At 37.7% G+C, this 25,925-nt stretch overlaps 1 protein-coding gene across 1 annotated transcript in view, besides 1 other annotated feature; it reads left to right on the top strand.

Annotated features, from left to right (window-relative positions):
- NALF1 (NALCN channel auxiliary factor 1) overlaps positions 1–25,925 on the top strand; it is a 703,987-nt gene that overhangs the window by 233,202 nt on the left and 444,860 nt on the right. The window lies entirely within an intron of this gene.
- Positions 15,499–15,668: an enhancer, noted in NCBI's record as "experimental_31763 CRE fragment used in MPRA reporter constructs". NCBI's record gives its function as "activates a minimal promoter by MPRAs in K562 erythroleukemia cells, with activity observed for both the introgressed and non-introgressed 13:108271060 variant alleles {active_cell/tissue: K562}" and the evidence as "EXISTENCE:reporter gene assay evidence [ECO:0000049][PMID:34662402]".

Here is a 25,925-nt window from a genome sequence, read left to right as displayed (position 1 = left end):
TCACCCCTGAACCTTTTCTAGATGGAATATAAATATGTAGAAGGGGGAGGAGAGTAAACTAGGCAGTTAGTCACTGCCTCCCCACCATCTTTGCCTCCCTTTCCAGAGGTCTGTCACTAAATACATTTTTTCTGGTGAATAAATGCTTGTTGATTAATCAGTTGATGTTCTCTACCTGGTATCAGCCTGGTAATTCTACACAATTTCATAAAGGACTAAAGTATTCGTGATACATGTATCTTGATTATTTTAAAATATGAAAATTCAAATAACTCTGCACATAATAGTATCTAAAGCAAATAGATCAATTTGGTAAAACAGGATGTATGTATGTATATCCATATATACAGAATATATATATCCATATATAAATATATATATTTTCCATATATATGTGTTTCATATATATATATACACACACACATACACACACATATATGTGAGCAAATATATGAGACCAATTTGGTAAAACAGGATATGTATGTATATCCATATATATAGAATATATATATATCCATATATAAATATATATATTTTCCATATATATGTGTTTCATATATATATATATATATACACACACATATATATGAAAAATAAAATATTGGACAAATGTATAATAAAGTTAAAAAACTGGATTTGTTTTTACACTGTTATTAATAAAGAGGAAATAAAAGAGAAAATAAGTTTATACGGGTTTAATGTGGTATTTATGAGGACCAGGATGTACGATATCACAAAGACCAGAGTAGGAGGTAAATAACTTGGACAGGAATAAAATAAGTGATAGGCTAATATTTTAGCATCAAAAACAGAATGGTCATTCACAAAGATCATCTATAAAATGGTGCATTATGATAGAAAAACTGAGCTTGAAATGACCTCAGAAATGATCAATTCTAGTTATTCCTTGTCTTGGTGAGGTGACTGTGGAGTGAAGAGATGCGTGATTTTCTCAGGGTCAGCAATTATCTATGAGTTCTTGAGTACTCTGACACAATTTTTAAAAATATTTTATGTTATTTTCAGAACATCTTATATTGTGTTTTATATATGTATTTCATATACATGAAGAGCTTTAAACACTTATTTTAAAAGTCACTAACTCCTAAAATTTTCTTCCTTTATATGAAAATATAAAAGCATGTTTATTTCATCTGAATACGCTCTTCAGACATTCTTTCTCTTATAAACAAAGACTGTTTCCAAAAATAAAACACAAAAAAGAGGGGCATGAATTTAAGATCACCAGACCAACTATTCTCTCTTTCTAAAAATGCATCATGTCTTACTTTGCATGCTAATCCTCCCTGAAGACACATGCTAATTTTTAAGGGAGCTGCACCAAGTGAAATCCACACACCTTGCCATTCCTTTTTTTTTTTTTTCATGAGGCTTGTTATAAAAATTTCTGCCTTCATTTCCGTCTTTTTCTGGGCTTGTTTTTCCTCTAGAGAACTCAAGATACAATAATCATATTCCATTTATTCCCTCATTCATTTCAAAATGCAATGTTTACTTTCAGATTTTTCTTATATATAACTATGTGTGCTTGCATTATAATCTGGTTAAACATAAGTGATACCAAATTTAGTCTTTAAGCCTAATGAATGAAATGTAGCTAAAATTTGGATTTTTTACTTTTTGTTGTTGTGTTTGTTGAGGGAGTAGGAGCAAGTGACATTAGTCTACAGAGATAATTGGAGACAGGATACGGAGGCCATTAAAAGGTGGGACAGAATGAAAGAGAAAGTAAGAGAGGATCAGTAGTTCTGGAGAATGCCTACATGGGGAAAATATAGAGGTTGGGAGTGTTATTAGGGAGGTGGGTTCCTTAGGAAGGGGAGAGAAGGGAAGACAGAAGAGAGTAGGAAAAAAATTATAAAGGCTTCTCTGCAGATATCAGCCAAGGACAGGACCTTCATGCCCATACTCTTATATTTCCTTCCTCAGAAACCAGAATCCAGAAGCATCACACAGGAGTTGAATTACCCAAGGACGTAAAGGCAGAGATGAATCAGTCAAATATATGTGTGTATGGATGGATGGAAGGATAGACAGATAGACAGATATGGAGATGGATACAGAGATAGATATAGTATTTGCCACCAGAGCGTTTAAAATGCTGATATCCTATTACAGACACTTATAATACCCTGATGTGGCACATTAAACTCATTTTAAATTAAATAGCATATGCAAAGATGTTTTGTCAACCAAACATCTTTGATAATACAATAGGTATAATTTACTTTTATTAACATATAAATTTATACTTTGTAGACTATGACATGTGGAGGATGAAAACATGCATCATTGTAATTTCTGAAACCTGTAGGAGTTTTTATCTTTTTTAAGTCTTTGAAGGGGAGATTGAAGAAGACAGAGTCAGAGAGAGGCTGTGGCACGAGAGAGAATTATGTGGCTTAACTGATGTTTTTCTGGTTGGCTTTGAAAAATAAAAAGGTACTCATGAAATACTTCTAATATTTCTGGCTATATATATAATCTGCATCAAGTGAGATGAATTCTCTCTTGATTTGATTTCAGCAAGCATATGTAGAGGCTTATCATAAAGAAAACCAATTGTCTTGCTGCTTGAGGTCTCGGCAAGCCTGTGCATGACTAGTCAATGCAATTGGCCAGCCAAGTGATTTTCAGGAGCGAGTCCTGCTGTGCATCCTGGTTGTTCATGCTTCCCTCTGTAATAAAAAGCTCTCAAGAGGGACTTACTCTCTGAATTCTGGATATTTAGTAAACTCAGTGGCATTGTTTCTGCTATGTTTACCAAATTTTGGAAGTAATTTTCTCATAATTCAACGAACTAAAAATCAAAACTAAGGTGATCATTTAGCTGCTGTCATAAAAGATAATTTTCCCCATTTAAAATATATGACTCATTATTATAGTTTTATATTCTCAGAGTCTGGTCCTCATTTGTAAAATAATGGGAGCCACCCCTACACAGTCGGAAGGCATGTGCATAAGGTCTCCAGTATAGCAAGCAGGTCTTCAACCCAGGTCTCCAGTATAGCAAGCACAATCTTGGCAGGTCTTATTATTACTTATGCATTAAAAATATTTGAAGTCTGGGCAACAAAGTGGGACCTCTTCTCTATTAAAAATGAAAAACATTAGCCAGGTGTGGTGGCGTGAGCCTGTAGTCCCAGCTACTGGGAGGCTGAGGTGGGAGGATTGCTTGAGCCCATGAGGTAGTGAGCCATGATGGTGCCACTGCACTGCAGCCTGGGCAAAAGAGGGAAACCCTGTCTCTAAATAAATAAAATAATATATGAAAGTACAACAAAAGAATAAGAAAAAATGCTATTTTTCCAACATAAGAGAATATTTCCAAAAGACTACTATATTTACACATTTAGGTCCCTAGATTAAAAAGGCTAGAAGATTTGAGTTCAGTTACCTAGGTAGCTGTCCGCAGCTGCCAGTCAAGTAAGCATAAATCCTCAACGTTTCTGCTTAACAACTGATCTTCAATCATCTAAGAGATGAGAGTGTTGAATTATGTCCTAGTATAAATATATATATATATATTTTACAAACCGTATTTCAGAACTCCTTTTTGTCTTCAAACGGCTGCCTTTTTATGCCAGATTTAGATCATACCTGTATATGCAAAATATCTAAACCTCCTATTAGACGATTATAAGAAAAATATATTTTCCCCTATTATTCATTCAAAAGATACTGTTGAGAGCTTACCATATGGCAGGGACATCAGGTAAAAAGATGGTAAAAACAGTATTTCTGCTTTTAGGGGCTCTAATGGTTAAAAATTATATATTTGTACAAAGATGACTTTTGAGTACTATAAGAAATGCCTCTGGTGTAATGCAATTTGCTGGACGGGGGGTGATATTTGAGCGTTTTCCCAGTCAGGTGGGGATGCTGAAGCATTTCAGGGAGAAAAAATAGTTCAGAAAGGGCCCTAAAGTCACAGACCCCATGGTGTTTTGAGAGAATAATGAGTGAACAAGAATGCTGCCTGGAATTGTGCAGTGGATTCAAAGAGTTGGACAGAGGTAAGAGTGGACAGATAGCAAAGTTTCAAGTAACTCTTGTGTCACGGTAAGAGAATGTACTTAACCCATTTATGTCAGAGGTTGCAAATTTTTTATGAAAAATCAGACCTTGGCGATGACCTTGAGCAGTAGGCTATCAATAACTCTCACAAGCTTAGTGTTCCAATAATGGAACACCTGGCATAAATGGGTTGATCTAACTAGGCGAAGAGAGTCTATCCAAGCCATAGAAGAGAGAGAGATAGATGATAGATTAGACAAATAGACAGATGAATGATCGATATTTTAGAAACGGTATCTTGACTGATTACAGTGAGAAGATCTTGAATGCGAAGATACTAGTTCAGAAGCTGTAACACAAATCCAGAAAGTGATAATGTGAGTTTCATTGAAAACAGAAAGAAAATAAGATGGAAATGAATACATACACATACATATAATAGTTCATTCATATATATCTCAAGTAATATATTTAAGAGAATATCTTTCATGAAGTGTAAAAACTGTAAAACATTTCTATCTATATCTATCTAAAGTAGCATTTATAAGAGTTGGTGATCAACTGAAATACAGTAAAGAAAAAGGAGTTATCGAGAAGGACTCCAAAATTTGTTGCTTTCTGACAAGATAAAAAGTGAGAAGAGAGAGCAACTGGAAGGGTGAGGGGAGATACTGAGTTTTAGACGGTTTTCGAAAAAGCAAGTCACTGCCCAACAAGTGATGTTCAGTAGACAATCAGAAAACACAGAACTGTGTCTTAAGAGGAATTATCAGACTTGAAGCCTAATGCATCAAAAGCATAGTTTAGTTGGAATTAGAAAATTGCCAAAAATCTCAGTCTCAGTTTTCAGATATATGATTCCATGCCATAGAGAACAATATGATACATTCTTTATAGGTATTTAAAAGTAGATCTCAAAGATTTTGTTTGGTCATGTCTGCCTGAATAAGTATGTGTACAGTGGGTGAGAACAGAATGATGTATTAGTGATTACTGCTATATTAGTATTACTCCTACAAATAGCATCTTGGACTTAATTGTCAAATAAATGAAGATGTGTTTTGACTATTAGTATAAATATGCATATTTCATAGTGTCAACTTGGCCTTCAATTATATGTCCAGAAATTTTTCTTCTTTAGTGCACATTAGTCTTATGAAATTTAATTCAGCTCCAGGCACAACACTGTGTGGTTGTAAGAGTACAAGACGTGGATAAGAAAGTAGGAAATACAACTTCTTCTAAGTAAAGTTTTATGTACTGGAGAACAGACTGTAAGTACACTGTTAGTTATAATAACATACAAAAAGGCATTCCCTAAGAGAGATGAAATTTAATGGGGGAGCAGGTAGGTAAGAAAAAGATTCACGAAGAAAGAGCAGATTAACATCACTTCTTAATTCCTGGTTAAATATGTTTGTCACAGAACTACTCTGATGTCTAGATGCCATGATTATTAAAAATTGCCCAGGTTTTTAAAATAAATTATTTTGAAGTATAAACATGAATAAAATTTGTAAAAAGTTATGCCATTTGGCATTCTATGTGAAAGTTAACCAGGGTTTTGTTTGTTTGTTTTAGATTTTTTGTTTTTAGTAAGATTTGGGAATTGGCGGCATTGCTTAAGACAATGGTTTCTTTAACGTGAAACATATTTCATGAAATGTAAAAACAGTAAAGTATTGCTCACGCTTATCTGTGACACGAAAGGAGAAGTAATGGGTACAGTATCTTGAGTGGAAACCTACTAACTAATAATTTTGCCAGTGGCCTCAGTTTCCAACTGAGCCTCTAACAGCAGGAGATCCATTAGCGTATCACTTGGCATTCTCCTTGAAGGAAATAATGAGATAAAGGGGTACCCTAGTGAAAGCAAAAGTGGGAACTGGGATATATAGTGTCCATTATGCTAGAAGGCCTTTGTATTTGGCCTTAAATCAGCTAAAATGCATTGTACGGATGCAAAGTGAGGCAGTCGGAAGTGCCATTTAATTTATAACACCGAATGACCAGATCATGCATCTTGACTGTCTTTTTAAGGGAAACATCTTGCTTTGGGAAGATGTCAACTGTCCATTACAAGGGCATCTGGTCTTCGTGGTGGTTCATTAAAAACAAACATTGCACGTGTGGTAACTGAGCAGTCATACAGGATAGAAAGAACTCTGTGTCATTGAAGACAGAGAATGTCTGATCTGTGTGATCACCTGTCCATTTTCAGATTTATGAGTGCATAATTGTGTTCTCGTATGATTTATAAATTCCACATAACTTTACCAGTAAATGAAAGTAGAATTACTTTGACTGGTCATTAAATTTTTTATTTATTATTATTTTTTTAGTTTCAAGGCAGAAACCTTTACAAGGCATTCCTATTGTCCAGCGAGTTTGGTTTCAGAGGGACTCAGAGGTGAGAGCAAATTAAGGCAAATTGAGCAAATCTACAGAAGTATTTATATTGAATGCAGTCAAATTTTACTTTCTCTCTGGAAAGCAGACTGCTGATATTTCTAATAATAGCCTATGGGATGACAGGGTGGAAAATAGAGCCCACCACTGCAGTTCTCTCTCCATTTGACTTTTTGTTGCATGTAACCTTTTAAGTGACATTTTTAAAGCCTTATGTGCGGGCTTTAAAATATACGTTTTATAGGAAATTGCACTTCTAGGCTTATAACAAAGAATACGCCCCAGTTGCTGACACCCATGCTGCTTTCATGCAGAGAAAATACAGGTACAGAAGGGGTTCCTCATTAAGGTTTCACTAGCACCCATTAAGACAGCCTTCTCCTCGCTCATGGTAAATAACACTGAGAAGAATATGACTTCCTATTGAATCATGGACTCCATTATAGGCTTTTCTAATAATAATCGTAAGGAGAACAAAGCCTCAAGAAATCTGTTCTCTTTAATAACACAGGGTTTGATAAATTAGTATGATAGAATCAAGCTGGTGTAGTGCTTAATCTCACAAGGTACTCATTTTCTTTCATACTTTTCTTTTCAAAATCACACTCTGATTCCCATATATTATTTCCTGTGAGAAATCATAACATATTTTCTATGTAATTAAAACTTTCCTGAGTTCACTGGAACACAGAGTGACATCTAAATCAATTGGGTTAGAAATATTTCCACAAGGGACAAAAATCCCCTTAGTCTACAGGATGTGATTCAATTTTTAGTGTACTATGCCATTTTGAAATTGACTCAACTTGGAGAATTGCTCCTTGTATAATGTCATAGAGAAGAATGAGGAACAATGTGCCACTTTGAAATTGAGTTCAGCTTTTCAAATTCATCATTGAAGTATGTGGCAGAGAAGAATGAGATATAAAAATGTTCCTTAATTTAGGTGTTTGTTTTTATTGTGGTAGAGTATGCATATATAGTTTACCATCTTTACCTGTATAGTTCAGTGGTAATGAATACATTTATGTCATTTTGGCCCTTCATGTCTCCTCCTCCCACCCCTTCCCATCCTCTGGGAACCACCAGTCTACTCTCAACCTCCATGAGATCCACTTTTTTAGCTTCCATACATGAGTGGGAACATGTGATATTTGTCTTTCTGTGCTTGGATTATTTCATTTAACATAATGATATCCAGTTTCATCCAAGGAAACAGAGGTTACTATTGCTGCAGATGATGACATTTTATTCTTTTTAAATTGCTAAGTAATATTCCATTTTATATATTTACACATTCTCATCATCCATTCATCCATTGATGGCCACTTAGATTGATTCCATATTTTGGCTATTGTGAATAGTGCTCCAAAAAACACAGGAGTGCAGGTATCTCTTTTATCTATTGATTTCCTTTCTTCTTTTGGGTATATACCCAGTAGTGGAATTGCTGGATCATATGGTAGTTCTATTGCTAGTTTTTTGAGGAACTTTCATACTGTTCTGTATAGTGGCTGTACTAATTTGTATTTCTACCAACTGTGTATGAGGGTTTCCCTTAGCCAGTATCTCATTGTAGATCTTTCTGCTTGTTTCTACTTTTTCAGTTATAAATAATAATGCAAGGAACAGTTTTGCATATAACTTTTATAGAGTGTACGTGATTATGATAGACTTATGAAGGTGGTAACTCAGTATAGTTTTTGAAGTCTTTGACATAGATGTCACCTCATCAGTTATTAATGAAATCTATTAACCATTGCCAATATTTTCCAATCTTATGTTGTTCATAAGATTAACAAGTTAAAAAGAAACGACCTTCATAATCTACATCATGAATACTTCTTTTAAAATAAGCATTATTGAGCCCAGCAAATGCCCTCAGTATTCAGTGAATAACTGTACAGTTTTTCTGCTTTGAATATGGAACCCCTCATGTATCATTCGTGTGCTAAATTGACTAAGCTTGTGTCTACATTGCCCGAACAACCTGTCAGTTCAGAGAAAATAATCAGTCAAAACAGTTATTTAGTGTCAGGTAGAAATGAATTTTCATTTTTCAACAGGTTTTGTTGGTGTAGTGTAGCTCCAGTCTAGGAAGCTTATTTATTTTAGAAATATTATCCTTTTGGGGAAACTATAAAATTCTGCTGGCCTGGAAGATAGATGAATGGCTATATGAGGGAATGGTGAAGAAGAAATGAACATTAGGATCAAATGGATATTGGAGCAAATAAGACCTTATAACTTATTTTTCAAGCATGTAATTCATAAATTGTGATCTAGAAACATTTTGTTTAGACTGTTGGTGCCTCACATAAAATGCAGCACTAACATATATAGACATGAAAGATGGGAAATCAGTTTTGCAATGTCCCTAAGATACTTTTTGACATGCTGTGCTAAATAACACCTTAATAATAACATCTACATTAAATAGTTTATCACTTAAGACACAGCTAATAATTTGTAGTAGGTAGCTTATCTCTTTGTGCTGTTTTCTGCTAAACGCAAGAAAGTCAACATCTTTCTTAATCATTAAGGTGCTTTTCGTTTAGCCCCTTTTATCAAAAACATTGAACCACATTTCATTGTTTCTCAAGTACATTGCCTGAGGGTGGAGATGAATCTAGTGCTGTGTCTACCTAAAGCTGCAAGTAGAGATAGGCTAAGATCAAATTATCAGGTGCTAGTGGAAATGTAATCTTTAAAGGCAAGAAAAAGTGGTACTCCGTGTGTGAGTTCTGCATCTGCCCATAAGGGATGCCAATTCCTCAGCCCAATTAGGGGCCACAGTAGACAGTTGGAATCATATTCATAGAGTTAGATGAATGTGTGCTGAAAAAGCCTTGGGTTATGGAGAATAAAACTGTGCATAAGAATAGAGATTTGGAAATGTCTACGGGTTAGAACATTTGAGTGATTTACTTTTTCCTCTGGAAAAATACAACCTAGTGTTTTCCTCCAAGATTTTGAGCATGAGCATCTTTTTCATAATCTCATATCTCTTTCTGCACCCCCCTCCTTTATTAGGAAGATAAGCAACCATTATTCCTTGCTGAGAAAGCAGTGGAAGAGCTTAATGCAGTGAGGAATTGAGTAGTACTGGTAGCTACATGGCAAAGGCCGTTGCTATGGATAAATCAAACTACATTTTAGTTATGTTTGTGTTTATAATTTACTATTCAAAAGTTTCACAGCAAAAATTTGAAAGAACCCAAGCATCCTTCTATAAACATCTATATATTAAAGTGCTCTGCTGCTATTAAAATGATACGTTTTACTTTAAGAAGTGAAGCTTTATGCTGTCCTTTAAAAATCTGTATTCTCCATCTCAAAACTCACAATAATTTGCCTAAAAAGTATTATACAGGATGACATCCTGTGGTTTTTTCCAGAACTACAGATTAAGGAGTTTCTGATTTCTTAAGAATTTTTATGAGAACTTTAATATACCATGGAAGGGAAGCATTATTAAAAATAAATTGAATTTTAAGAGCTCTTTCATTTGTTTCTTATGTTTTTCCCATCCTTGCTCCCCACTATCCACATGTAACATGTACTTAACCTTTATGTAAACCACACAGTGGCTTAGTAGAAGAACATTAGCTACAAAGTCAGAAGAACGGCGAATACTCCCTCTACCATTTTCTTGTGTGTAGGTAGCTTTGGATAATTCATTAACATTTCTGAACCTCAGTTGTCTTGTTTGTAAAATGAGGATGATTTTTCCTCTATCATAGTTATTCTCCATCAGGAAGCTAGTGCCATAATATTCCAGAACATTTTTACCAATGTTAAAGTACTGTGCAAATAGGGGCTGATGAGATTATTATTTCATCAGACAACTGGAATACACCGATGCTTCAGTCAGGTTATGTTTTGACATATTATACACATCTCCATATACACTTTCATCCACTGTCTTGCTGCAAAATGCTTTTGCATGTCATTTTCTCTCCATCTAGAAAATAATTCCTTATCTTTTGGGCCAAAGCTCTTTCCTTTCTTGAGCCCCTGACGAAGTATTATCTAGTTCATGAAGGCTTTCCTCATTATTGTTTTCTATTTGTGCCCATTTCATTTGCTTAGTTAATTATTATACATGAACTGACCATTTTAGGTTTCTTGAGAGATGTTGAGGGAGCACAGAAGGCCAATCCCACCTCACTTCCCTTAGTTCACAGCAAACAAGCCAAATCTTTGCGTTTCTACATATGATTTGGGCAATGCCCTTCAACTATGCATACAACAGAATGAAACAATAGTGCCTGTGGCACATTTACTTATATTTCATATAAGACTTTGGGATATTTCTGACCTTAAAAGTCTTAGGCATCCTAAACATTTTCAGGAGGAACTTTAAAGATGGCTCAGGGGGAGTAATATTTTTTTTTTTTTCTAATTTCTTTACTCTGTTTCCAAGCCTGGAAATGATTTGTTTTTTCTAGGCATGTAACTGTCACCTTAAATAACCTAATCTTGCAAGAAAAACAATATTTCCATGAAGAAAATTCATGTCAGGAAAATTGGTGTTTGCTTGTTTCTTTACTCAGAATTCAGGCTATACAGAGAAGTCATGGTAGGAGACATTAAAACAGTAGAAGATTTCTAAACATCCCAACAAAATTATATTAATAAGAACTTGAAAATTTTTAACAGGTAATATAGAGTTGACTATGTGTATGTGTCTTTTTATTTATGTTTACCATGCAAAATTATGAGGGAGTTATAGATCTAGGTGACTGACACCATTATAATAAAGTTTGGATGAGAACTCATGACATTCTTAAGAGCATGTCGTGGGAAACAGTGGTAACCTCTCACACAAGTTCTTGACATACTAGAGTACTGTAGATATTGTTGGTTAAAGCAGGTTTGTTTAATAGCTCCACAATTTTATATGGTGCTGTAAATGTCTGTCCCAGATTGACATGGTTTCATATAAATGTATTTTTCTCACTTTGATAGAAAACTCCGTAGATGGGATCAAATACCTTATTTCTACTGCTATGCCTAGTTACCATAATAGTTCCTGAGAACTGTTCCTTAAAGGGTTCATTGTCTACAGAAAGCGAAATAAATAAATACATAAATAAATAAAAAATAAATTAATCTGAGCTGGATCTGAAATGGAATGGTTTTCATTGGTTAAGAGCAGTGTGTTCATTGACGAATTATTAAATTTCCCATCTGAGCAGAATGATTTGCAAGCCCCTGGGGTGAAATCAACATTGTGGTACTGTACAGTATATTTTTCTCTTTTCAGTAGCTTACCTCTCTGTTAAGCAGGCAAAATTTAGCAGAGACAGATTATCAATGGAACAGAGTAATGCTTCTTTTTTTCTTTTCTTTTCTCTCTGTTTTTTTTTTTTTGTTGTTGTTGTTGTTTGTTTGTTTGTTTTTTTGAGACAGTTTTGCTGTTGTTGCCCAGGCTGGGGTGCAACGGTGCGATCTCGGCTCACTGCAACCTCTGCCTCCCAGGTTCAAGCGATTCTCCTCCTGCCTCAGCCTCTTGAGTAGCTGGGATTACAGACATGCGCCACTATGCCTGGCTAATTTTCTAATTTTGTGTTTTTTTAGTAGAGACGGGGTTTCTCCATGTTGTTCAGGCTGGTCTTGAACTCCTGACCTTAGATGATCTGCCCGCCTTGGCCTCCCAAAGTGCTGGGATTACAGGCATGAGCCACCGTACCCAGCCATGATTCTTAGAAAAACTGTTTTGTGCTTTGGAGGCTGAGACAGGAGAATTGCTTGAAACTGGGGGGCAGAGGTTGCAGTGAGCCGAGATAGCGTCACTGTACTCCAGCTTGCTTGACAGAGTGAGACTCAGTTTCAAAGAAAAAAAAAACTGCTTTGTGGGCATATTCCAGATGTCATTCCATGAATCACAGAAATTTCTCTGTTTAGAGAAGGATCTCATTCCCAGTTATCCGTGGTGGAACCAACCTTGGAGCAAAGAGGGAGATAGAGCCCTGCCCGACTCAGTTATCTAGACTTAAGCTTGCATCAGACACCCAGGGATTGAATTCCGGCCTCAGCTGTGATCAGAAGGCCACAGCCTCCTCTAGGTCTTCCTCATGGTGTCAGTGGAGCAGAGCGCCTCAATTTTTCTCATGGATTATTGTGTTTGGTATTTAGGTAGAGTGACAGGGCAGAGAGCCAGACATTACAATCAGGCATGACTGGGAGAAATGTGCATTGTCCCTAAGGAACGAGAATACCTAGATGTAGAAAGTAATAACACCTATAGTAGAGGAAAAAATCACGCAATCATTTGAAAGCTGGAACTTCTTAGCAGTAGCATGTTAAGTTGGGATAGCAGACTTATGAAACATGGTTCTCTAGTTGCTAGGACTGTTCTTCTGATGACTTAATAGTTCTTTATAATTTTATGTCCATCCAACCTAGCTAAAGAGTTCATCAAACAGAATTTTTTTGCCATCTTCTCACAGTTCACAGCTTCTTGATAGATATTAGAAAACTTAACATTGTCATTAATAAAAGGCATGTGCACACATGTATTTACAATTATTTCATTCTGAAGTAATATTAATACTAGAAAAAATTAACTTAAAAAGATAATAGTGAAATATTCTTACTGTCCTTGAAATGTGCTAACTAGTTAATAATGGACTGCAGTGTTAACACTGTAATTTAGGATGGGAAGAATGTGATGGAGTTGCTGGGAGAGTTTAAACAGTCAGAATGTAACTACTAACTGCAAGTTCATCCGGAACTACTTGTCAGTCGCATGCTGCACTTGACTTCCTAATAAGCCAGGTACCATGAACAATATGAAGATTTGGGTAGCAGGCATCCTTGCCTACTGAAGTTAACACACACACACACACACACGCACACACTCACACACAGCAGTAGAAATGATTACTTCTAGTACCAAGGTTTAACATTTCTCTTCAAATAAACCAAACACATTTTGTCAAAGTTAGAAAGAGCCACGGATAGTGATCAACTGGGATAAGGAGAAGCCTTGAGTTAGAATGGGCGGACACCTCCCTCATTCCCTCACTGCACAGACAATTCCAGACTTCTCTGTCACATAGTCCAGTGGGAATGGAATACCAAAGACAAGTGTGGCGGAGGTGGAAACACGCTTAATATTTAGGCCCATATATATCTGTCACGTGTAGGTTGAGTGTTTTTGTATACTAAACATGCACAGTGGTTACAATTTCTATCCTAACTGGCCAAAGAGTAGTGGAATAGAGAACACAGATGCCAGAGTGCTCACTGCTGGGACCAAGTCATTTTGGTGCAACAGTATCAGAAACCTCCTGCCAATACCAGGGAATCCAGGCATAGGGAACACATCCCATGGTGGATAAAGGTGAGAAAGTCTAGCTGATTAGGAATCAGATTTGTGAACATCTAATTATAGAATTGCAAAGCCTTTTCTGTTCCTCTTAGAATTTTCAAATGGCACACACAATTAAAGATTTTCCTGTATCACTCCAATGATAGCACGTTATTCTCTGCATAGATTATCTCTATTAGTGTTTGATGGGTCTCTTTGTGGCTCAGATGTTGATGGCTTTAAGTACCAGGGGTATTTCCCCTTTGTCCAAATCATTACCATTCTTTTGAAATCTCTTCTCTGGCTCACCATCAAATTGTGGTTCTGATGTGGACATTTAGACTTCAATGAGAAGCTTCCTGGCTAAGCATTGGCATTATTTTTTCTTCTCCTAGAGGAGAATTTTTTTGAAACAGGTTTCAAACATCACAATTAGGGATTATTCAGTTTAAAAGGCCTGATAAAAGCCAATTGGAAAACACCAGAAATAGTGTTCAATTAATATGTGACAGATTACATAATAATGAACACACAAAAAAGAGGACACCTGTTTCTTTCCACTCCTAATCTATTCATAAGGGAAATTTGACAGAATGACAGGATGCCCACACATTCAAGTTTCTAAAATTTTTATATTGGCCTTTTCTGGAAAAATGAAAAGATTCAGTTTGTGTTGTTTGGCTAAATCGTATCATATGACATGGTTACCTGAGGGTCTAAATTGTACACACCAAGAATAAGGAGACCTACATTCTTGTCGTAGTTCTGCTATTAGCTAGTTGTGCAACTTGAGGGAGTCACTCAACTTCTTTCAAGTCATAGGCTTGATGATTTCTAAGTACCTCCAGTTTGAATAGTCTGTGATTCTGCTCTAAAAATTAAGTTTGTTAGATGATTGATGCTTTTTACAGTCTTTACAAATTTGAGGTTTGCAACAGATTGCACATTTTACCATAATCTAATAAAGAAAAATGCAACGTGTTAAAATTCGTTTTACATTATCAGGCATCCCTGAGTTTTCTGACATCAAGCTGTGTTCCTTCCAAAATGCCCACCGATTACCAGGGTTCCATGGGGCTGTGGCTATGCTGCAAGGCAATGAGATACTTCATGATGGGATCTCTCTCCAAATCAATAAAAGTTCTTGATTTATCAAAAGGCTGATTCTCACAAACCCAGGTCAGTGCTCTTCCATCCTCTCTGTACACATCTTGACTGTCTCACTGCCTGAGTGCTTTCACTCTAACAGGGTGCGGAAAAGAGGAATCATCACATCTTAACCGACCTGAGCGCATAAACATAACGTCCTCATGTCTCTGGAATAGAATCCATTGGTGATATTCTAGACATGTACCTCCCTGGTAAGGTGTTCACCAGACACCACGGCTATTGCCATTTAAATAAATGAAAGTAAAAAGTTCAATTCCTCCATCACAGTAATCAGTGCAAGTGCTTGGTAGCCACACGTGGCTAGTGGCTGCCTTAGTGAACAGCACAAATGGGAATATTTCCATCATCACAGTAAGTTCTGTGTAACCGCACTGTTCCTGATATTGGATAGTGAGGATCCCCTAAGGTAGCAATACTAGGAATATAGAGGTTTGGGCAGACATAAGAATATAAAGCAATATGTTGTTTAGCTTTTGCTATTGTTCCTATATCTTAGCCCATCTCCAAACTGTGAGTCTGGTTTCCTTTCCACCCCTGCAGACTAAGCATCAATACTTTCCCTGACCCTCAGTCTATCCCCAATATCCCTCGTATCCCTAAATGACACTGCCACCTAACAAGTGGTCAGTCAGAGTGCTTTACTCCTTCATTTCCTTCACAGTCTTCTCCATCCTATCCCTGACACACACATGAAGTCTTCCAGCAAATCCTCCAAATTGCATCTCAAATTCAGCTACCCATCGTCTTCGCTCCTGGCTAGCATCCCGGTCCGGCCACTGCCATCTCTCTAACCTGAGAGCTGCAAAAGCTTTCAAAGTGGTCTCCTGTCTTTCAGTCTTTTTGACTCTAATTCATTTTCTGCACAATGGCCAAATCATCTTTTTAAGGTAAAAATTAGGATAAGTCTTCTATTGAAAACTCAAGGGTCTTGCCTTTACACTTATCATAAAACAAAACCCAAATGCACACAATATTCTAGCCCCATCTCCCTCTTCAACCTCCTCCCTTTGCTCACAACACTGCAGCCACAGTGACCTTCCACCAGGTCCAGTTTATAACAATTTCTTTCCTGCCTTGAACAGTTCCTGTTTGCAATTTCCTTTACTTTCTCTAGGAGTGTTTTGCCCACACTGTGAATAGCTTGTTTCTTCTGGTTTCTATCTCAGCTGAAATCTCTTTTCTTCCAACAGAGTTTTTTCCAGCCAGTCTTACTTTCGACCTTATTTTATTTTCTCTCTCGGTGCCCTGTTTATATGCTCCACAGCACTTAGCCTGATCTGTCAATAGCTTTAAATGCATTTGTGTTCTTTTTCTAATTATTAGCTACATGAGAGCAGGGAGCATGCTTATTTTATTCATTGTGGACTATCTCAATAAATATATGTTGAAGAAATAAACAAATGAACAAAATGCATTTGTCAGTTTAGTTATAAAGCAATTCCAAGAATGAGATAAAGCAAAATTTCAAGGGGAAGTGATCACAAATATCTGTGTCATTCAGAGTGGTGAATTATGGTCGATTGGGTCAGCATGGAAATACTGATAACTTGTGTGCCTGTAGAAATGCTGAAAAGAAACATGGAGGAGAAAAAAATGGAAAAATTGTCAGCACTCCTGAAACAAGTGATTTATTTTGTTTTCCTCTCCAGCTGCCTTCTTTGCACTTGTCCTGCCTATGCTGCTTTATCTACCAGGCTTTCCTGCCTTAGCCTATTGTTTTCATTCAGTTGGTGGCTTTTGAGTTAGTTGTTGTCTTCTCAACCCACTGAGTTCTTTCTCATGGGTCCTTCACCATTCACTGCGGTGGTGGTCAGATATTTTTTATTTTTGAGAACAGATTTTTCTTATCTCACATAAAGGTGTATAGGATCAAAATCTTCAATAAGCTTCTTTAAGTTGTTAAGTAAATAATGTGCCTAGGAAGGATGTTGTTCTTCTTTATTGATGCAAAAAGAAAAAAGCCAAACATAGAATCCTTTGGTAGATTGACTGTTACGAATGATTCTCTGGTAAGACAGTTGAATGAAATCTACAGATCATAAATTAAATGACCCCTTTAATCAGACCTCTCCCTCTCCCTCTTCACAAAACAGGGCCCCATGTCCTAGAGAATACCCAGCTTGCTTCCTAGGATGGATACCAGGTTTGTATTTTAAAACATCTTTATGCTTCAGTTCTGAAGGATATGAATATGTTCCAATTTAAAGATGCAAGATTTAAGATGTAAAATACCTTATTTCTTTTATTTGGATGATTAAATTCCAGACAAACTGAAGATATCTGTTATGAAGTTAGCTTAAATGTGCATCTATTTATAGTACTGGAAAAACACTATTTTATATAAACCATGGCATTTTTGTATTGAAAATAATTCTTTGTAGACATTATGTTTCATATTATATATGGAAAAATTTGCTCTATAAGAGATTTTTATTTTTCCTTACCTAGCGGTTATTTCTGCATTTCAATCCACAGACAGCACCTGAGTGTTTTTAGTTTTAGTGTCATCCAGGAGCAGGTGGATGCAGCAAGGCGTTTTGGAGTTGGTTGTTGCTGGCCATGCTCAATGCACTGTGGGGTGGGGAGTACTGGGCTGCATGGGGACTGACTTGTCCTTTTACTTCTATCAATATTCGGATGACCTCAAAGCACTGTGTGTCTTCCATATGTCAGCTTGTCTGGCATTTGTTCTACAAAGGAGGGATGAAATAGCAGCTACTGACATTTGCTTTGGACTAAAAGAAGGAAGAGTAAGGATCTTGTTATCTGAATTCAATCTTGTAGCCTGTGTGTTTGCAGGAGGCTTTCCTGGTTTCTGTTTCAAAACCAAATCTGTATTTTGTTTTCAATTTTAACACATTTCCATCAAAAATAACACATAAATGGTTTTGAAATAGACATTAAAAATAAGTTCTGCTTACAACCTGTATGGCAAAAGAAAACCCCAAACACTTAGACTTTGTTAAAAGTGGCAAATGTCCTTGGATTATTATGCAATGTGATGGGATCTCTGTGTGAGGGGAAAGTTCTCACAAAGAATAGGCTAATCATTAGGAAAGCGTGTTGACAGAAATCAGCTAGAGAATGATGCCCACTTTAAACGTAAACGCTGTGTGAGTGTGTTGGAATTTTAATCTTAACATTTACATTTTCATTTTCTATGATGATAAACTTTTATTTTTAACTTTTAAATAGATGTTTCTTTTCCAGGAAGTTTCCATCTTGTTTATGCAGGTATTAATTTCACATCTTCTTTATCTTCAGCAATAGTTTTGAAGTTACTTAAGAGAGGTGGTGTCATTTATTGCAAATTTTTGTGCGACAGGACCTTCAGATACACTTGCTCATTTAATTCTCAAACCAGTCCTGTGTGGAGGACATCAGTTTATACTCTTAGCAGATTAGGACTTTACAGATTGGGCATTATGGATGTCTAACTTACCATAAGGCTTTTAACTAGCAAAGTTAAGACTTACACTCATGCCATGGAGACTTGCTTTAAGAAACACATTTCACCAAGCAGATACCATATTGCTGCTCGATGAAGATATAAGTGATAATATTTATCACTCTTAGGAGGGTTTATAATTTAACCTAGAAGAATGCCTACCTAGTGTAAAAGAAAATATATTCAAGATAATTTCTAAGCATCAAATGACTAGTATGGACCAGTGCACCCCACCCTTTTTATATCAGGGCACACAGAGAGTTAGTTTGTGTGTACACAATGTTAATGAAGCTGGTTCAGAGGAAGTGGCTGGCCTATGGGATCCACACACTCCAGGTTATGACCTCGCTCTGAAGGCGAAGGGGATCAATATTTTGGCACACCATCATCTTATAGGCCATAGGTGCCACCAGAGTTGACGGGGAGATAATTATAAGAAACAGAGGTGACCTTGTGAATTCATGCAGGGTTTGTGAAACAATCATGAGACTTTGACAGGGGGATAGTCATGGGGAAAATAATTATGCGAAAGGCAGGGTAAGAGCAAGCCATAAGGGAGCAGACCCGCCAACATGGTACCAGGGGCAAAAGAATGGAAAATAGAGGCTAATTGTTATTGAGTACCTACTGTAGACAAAGGACTGTGACATTATAGAGAGGACAGGCATCTTCAGAGATGTCATTTTTGTCCCTTCATAGGAAAAAAATATGAATGTATAAAGTGTTAGTTGAACTGAAAGAGGACGATGAATAGGTCAAGTTTATGTCAACTTATTTTTGTAATGTTGGCATCATATTCAGATGTCTATGGTCAGAAACAAAGAGATGCAGGATGTGCGAGGCACAGTGGCTCATACCTGTAATCCCAGCACTTTGGGAGGCTGAGGCAGGTGGGTCACCTGAGCTCAGGAGTTCAAGACCAGCCTGGCCAACATGGTGAAACCTCTTCTCTACTAAAAATACAAAAATTAGCCAGATGTGGTGGTGGGTGCCTGTAATCCCAGCTACTCAGGAAGCTGAGGCAGGAGAATCACTTGAACCGAGAGGCGGAAGTTTCAGTGAGCAAAGATTGCATCACTGCCGTCCAGCCTGGGTGACAGAGCGAGACTCTGTCTTCAAAAAAAGAAAAGAAAGAAAAAAAAAAAAAGAAAAAAAGAGATGCAGGATTGAAATTAGGGAAAGGGCAAAGTTTCAAAAAGAGGTGCCTGCATTTCAATATTTCAGAGTAGAAATAAGAGTATATGTGATCCAAGGACAAACTCCCATCTTTATCCAGAGAATAGTTGGTATATTTGTTTACTTAATGAAAATTTAAACAGCAGTTTTCTATTTTCCCAGCACTTATAATGTTCTAAGGACTTTATAAACATTAGCTTATCAAATCTTCATATCAGCCTTATTGTATTCCATTATTATTCTCATTTTATAGATGTGGAAATGTGGGTGGAGGTTTAGGTGACTTGCCTAAGATCACACAAAGAGTAAGTAAAAGACCTAAGATGCAAACTGTGTCTTCTGTCTTCATAGTAGAATCTCAGGATATAGGAGACAGATGCAGACAACACCTGGCCTGTTTAACAAGAACACATGTACTTACAAAAAGACTAGATGTAGAGAAGCATTTCTCCAATCCTTGATGATGTTAGACAAGGCGGCGTTATTAGGTTGCTTAAAATGATCACTTTTAGGTAAGTGAGTATGTGTTTCAAGATTTTTTGATCTTGCTGTGATATGAGAGATTTGGTATTTTCTCTGACAAAAGGTCTCATCCCTATGCCCATACTCAAAGTCATCTAACATCTGGCGTTAAACTCCTCCTCTCAAATCTAATGAGCAAAGTGAACAAACAAGAAATATTACAGATGAACACAGTTGAAAACATCTTGGAAAAGCTAGGTCAGTACTTACCCTTTCTGAGTATCAATTTTCTTATCTTTAAAACAGAAATATCAATAGTGTCTACTGCTCAGGGTTGCTATGAGAACTAAGTGACTTGCCAACAGGAAGGAATGAACGTAGCACCTGCATAGAATGGTCACTCCATGAGTGTAGATTTCTTGTTCTCCATTTTCTGCCCAATAAGAAATAGGATAAAATTTTTATTTCTACATTCTATGTTGTTTCCAAGAAAACCTATTCCAGTTTGTCTTGACAACTATTTATTGAATAGTTACTTTGTGCTAAGCGCTATGCTGTGTTAACTGAAATAACTTGATGCAGTAACTGGATTAAATCCTTGCAAATAATTACAGGCACACAGATAAAGTAGTGATTTGTTTTTCTGATGTGGCTGGATGGAGTCAGGGCCCAGAAATAAGAAAACCAAGGTAGTTCAAATAAAACATGGACTGAAATCTAGAAGTACAGAGCTATTTTATAAAACTTATACTTTAATTTCAATCACTCCATTTTGATAGTAAATTGGTTGTTATATTCCATTGACTTTGGAGGAAAAATGATGAGTTGAATATCCCACTGTTGACCACAGTCTGCAGCACCCTCAAGAAAGGCATTCCCCAGTTGGCCTGGAGAGAGAAAGAATTTACCCAGTCAGGGTTATTGCGGAGGCCGCCTACCTGCCAATTTTCAGGTTTCTTTTTTGTAATGTTTTCAGTAGTAAGAAAAGATGGAATGACATTGGTTGCCTCTTAATATAACAGTCTGCCTCTTCATTCAAGATTAAACATAACAAAATATTTGCAATTTCATTAGGAAAAAAGCTCCAAAGTTAGTGTCTGTGAGTAGAACAAGCAGGAAACAAAACATAACTGCAAGTTTGGAATCTTCCCCGGGAGTTTCACCTTTCCCTGTGATCTGAGTCCTCACCTTTGATGCCCATCCCTGTGGCTGCTCCCTTCCTCCAGGGGAGGCGGGACTCATTTCTTTCTTTTCTTTTCTTTTTTTTTTTTCTCATTGTGGGAAAAAAACCCAAAAAAACCCATAAATTTGCCCTCTCTGTTCTTCAGGGTTCTCCAAAGAAATGGAGCCAATAGGCTGTGAATAGAGGTGTATGTCCTATTTGATAGTTAGATAGACAAATAGTTATCCTATGAGAGAAAGGGAGATTTATTTTTAAAATATGTCTCGTGTGATTATGGAAGAGAAGTCCCAAAATCTGCAGCAGGCAAGAAAGTCAATGAATATTTCCAGCTGGAGTCTCAAGGCCTAAGAACCAGGAGGGCCAGTGCCAGTCCAAATGCTGGCAGCCTTGAAGTCCATGAAGTGCCAGTATACCCGCCTGTGTTTAAAAGTCAGGAAGGAGCAATGTCCTACCTCATTCAGGGAGGAGGAGCTCTCTCTGACTCTGCCTTTCTGTTCTATTGAGATCTTCAACTGATCGCACAAGGCCCACCCACAGCAGGGAGGGCCAGCTGTTCTACTCATTCTCCCGATACCAGTGCTAGTCTCATCCAGAAACACTAGCGTAGACACACCCAGAACAATGTGGGACCAAGAGTCTGGGCAATCCATGGCCCAGGCAAGCCGACGTATAAAATGAAGAATCACACCCCCAATCACATTTAAATGTATATTGCAGTATTGGTAACTATATGCACATAGTTATACAACAGATCTCTAGAACGTTTTTGTCTTGCGTGGCTGAAGCTTCATACCTACTGAACAGCAACCCTGCTTTTTTCCTCTTCCCCTCCCCTGGCAAATTTCTGTTTTCTCTGAGTTTAATAACTTCTGATTGTTCATATAATTGGAATCATGCATTATTGTTTTCTTTCCTTCCTTCCTTCCTCTCTCCCTCCCACCCTCTCCCCTCCCCACTCCTCCTCCCCTCCCCCCTCCCCTTCCTCCCTCCCCCTCCCCTCTCTCCCCCCCACTCCCCTCTCTCCCCCCCACTCCCCTCTCTCCCTCCTTCTCTGCCTCCTCTTTCTTTCTCTCTCTCTTTCCCTGTCTCTCTCCTCTCCTCTCCTCTTCTCTTCTCTTCTTTCTTCTTCGTGCCTTCCTTCCTTTTTTGTCTTTCCTTTCTTTCTTCTGAGACAGAGTCTGGCTGTGTCATCCAGGCTGGAGTGCAGTGGTGCAATCTTAGCTCACTGTAACCCCGAACTCCTGGGCTCAGGCAATCCTCCAAACCCAGCCTCCCAAGTAACTGAGCTTATAGGTGTATGCCACCATTCCCTGCTAATTTTTTGTTCTCTTTTTTTATCTCTCTCTTGCTTTTTTTTCTTCTTTTTACTTTTTGTAGAAATTTGGTCTTGCTTTTTTGCCCAGACTGGTCTTGAACTCCTGGCCTCAAGCAATCCTCCCACCTCTGCCTCTCCAAGTGGCTAAGATTACAGGCGTGAGCCACTGCACTCAACCCATTAGTTTTCCTTAGTGACTGGCCTATTTTACTTAATATAACATTCTCAAGATTCATCTTTTTTGTAGTATATGACAAGATTTCCTTGTTTTTAAATGCTACAATAATATTCCATGTTATTTATGTGCCACATTTGCTTTACCCGTTCATCCATCAATGGACACTCTAGTTGTTTTTGCCTTTTGGCTATCGTGAATATGAATGTGCACATCTCTCTTCCAGATCCTGTTTTCAGTTTGTTTGGATATAAGTCCAGAAGTGTGATTGCTGGATCATATGATAATTCTATTTTTAATTTTTTGAGGAACTTTAGTACTGTCTTCCACAGCAGCTGCACCATTTTACCATCCTACCGACAGAGGACTCCGTTTCAAGCTCTGACTAAAACGCCTTTCCTTGTTTTCCCTTAGCACAGCTGAGACAGACTGACATTTTTTTTAAAGGACTGCTAAATACCAGGAGGGGAACAAAATGAAATAATTACACAAAGTATCACACAAAAATGGTTACACCTGCAGGGCAGTTTCTGCTCTTGTGATATCTAGACTGTAGCACGGAGAGTGCTCCGTTTTCCCTGTCCTCTACTTCTTTCTCTCCTTCCACCTTCCTACTCATCTATACGTGGCCTGCAGCATCATTTTCAAAACATACGGTTGGGTTTTATTGACACCTACCTCCTCCACACAGTGCCAATGTCATTCTCAACACTAGTGTCAGCTCGCCCAGCCCCTGGTCCCCCACTGATGAAAAGGAAACCTCCGTGTTGACTCTGTCCATCCTCAAATAATATTCTTAGAATTAAGGATTTTTCACAACGGACGTAGGTTTATCATTCCCTGCGCATAGGCTCATGAACCCATTTTCTACTTTCCAGAGACCATTCTGTTTCATTTCCACTTAAACAATATTTATTTTCAAGTATTTTCATATAACTTAACTTTAATGATACAAATAATGTTCAAATTCTCTTAAACCATGATTGAGAATCCAGAGGCTGGTATTATCATAAATTGACATGTATCGTCCTAGTACAATTTTCAAACATCTGCACACATATTGTATTTAGAAACAACATATTTCATGGTTTCATGTCTATTTAAAGTTTATAAATGACAAAATGCTCACTGTATCATACTGTCTTTTTTTTACTTGAAATTATGTTTTAGAGATCTTTTCATTAATATATACAATATTTCTTTTAAGTGTTTAAATCATCTATTCATCCACTAAGGTAAGTAGATATTTTGGAATTTCTTTAATAAATTTTGGTGTAATGGGTACTCTTGTTTAACTCTCCAGTCTTCTCGTACAATGTGAGTGATTGTCTAGTGTATACTCTTGCAAGGAGAACAGATAGGTCATATGTAATACATACATCTTCAGTTACATTAGATACTGCCCAGGTGCTTGTCAAAGTAGCTGTACCAGTTTCCTCTTCCCTAGTAACAGCTGTGAGTTTATTTTTCCCCATATCTTTATCCTCATTTAATTTTTTAGACCATTTACGTTTGTGTAAATCTGAGAGCAGACAGGAAGCATTTCATTGTAATTTTCATTTGTATTCATTTCATCACTTCTAAAGTTGATTGTCTATCAATCATCATCATTTATCTATATTCTCTTTGCTATTTGGAAGTTCTCTTCTGTTTCCTCCTGTCATTTGTTTTTCTATTTTTCCCCTTTTAAAATTTTGATTTTGAGAAACACACACACATATGTATATGCCTGTTAATTCATGTAAATATAGATGCATCTTTGGTAATTATTATTTGTCTGTGATGTGGATATACATGCATTTATTTTATCCAAGTATATTATTTGTCTTTTGAATCTATGATATTCTTTGACAACAGTTTGCTAAGATTTTCCTTTAAGGAGGGAAATTTTATGGAATTCAACATTTTTTTTGGAGGATTTCATGAGGCTTTAATCATAACCTAATAATACTGTTAAAAACAACACGTCTGTCACTTGCGGAGACCCACAGGGACACACATTCTCTTCCTCTCACATAGACTGAGGTAGGAGGTACACTGGCTAAGGAATAAAAAATACTCAGTGGCTGTGCAAGGCTCAGACCAGGCTCACAAGGCTCTTGGTTGAAAAGCAGCCCCTTGAGAGCAGGAGCAGAGGCCAGGCCAGCTTCACTGAGATCCCAGAGGTTCTGACTGGGGCCGCCCAGAGTTGGGCATCCCTGGCTTCTAGCATTTGAGATCTCACCCGGGACTGGTTGGTGCAAGTAGGGGATGAAGCTAGGGTGGTAGCTGGTCTTGTTCCAGGTTGCAAGGACAGAATGATGTTCCTGGCACATAAACTGCTCTCGGCGAAGATTTGTTTCATGAACTGAATGAATGGTGTGGGAGAGGGGAGGAAGAATTCTAGAGGACAGCCCCTCTGGCCTTCTAGCCCAGGATAGGGGAGCTAAGGGGTAGGGCAGGACCTATACCAATCATTTTAGAGGTGGCCAGGGAGGGAGGTGGAAGTTTTGGGGCACCAGCTATACCAACGGCAGGGGGAAAAGAAAAGGTAGTCTTCTTTCCTCCCAAAGTGTCTTGTACACAACTGGGGCTCTTGACCCTGCAGGGCCCAGCCCTTCTCATCTTGTTCACTGTGAACTCCTTGAAGGCAGGCCTCTGCCCCACTCGGCACCATCCCTGGTGCCCGGCCCAGCACAGGTGTCCCACTCTTGCTGAGTGCGTGGAACCCACGGCAGCATCGTTAGCTTAACCTCACCTGCCTTCCTTCCAGCAGAGTCACTCTCCATCTCTGCGGGCTGGGTCTGATCCTGCTTCAAAGGATGCCGTTCACCTCTTCCTTCACTGGCGAAGTAGCCTCATCCTTAGCCTTGGGGATGAATTCTATTTTTTTCGGAGTCAACACAATCATATGTTTTTTCTCTTCAATTTTCAAGTTGCTTAATTATATTCGACATATAGTAAGTGCCCTGCAACCGTTGCTTACACTTCTAGAATTAGCTGTATGTCACCAAGTGTGGCTTCCCCCAACCACCCAATCAGGAAGCTACTCGTATGTATTTTAGGGTTTTGGACATGGCAAAACTCCCCTTTAAGTAACAAAGTCTGTGCTGGTAATATATTGCTGTGTAACAAGCCACCCTAGAACCTAATGGCTTAAAAACAATATTTATTTTATCATAAGTCTGCATATTGGGCAGATCTCTGTAGGCTCAGTTCATTTCTCCTCCAACTTGCAATAGGGGGCCTGGA

This window comes from Homo sapiens, chromosome 13, assembly GCF_000001405.40.
Source record: "Homo sapiens chromosome 13, GRCh38.p14 Primary Assembly".
In the NCBI taxonomy this organism is placed as follows: Eukaryota; Metazoa; Chordata; class Mammalia; order Primates; family Hominidae; genus Homo; species Homo sapiens.
Note: the sequence above shows the minus strand (reverse complement) of the source record. Positions and strands in the feature narration are given on the sequence as shown.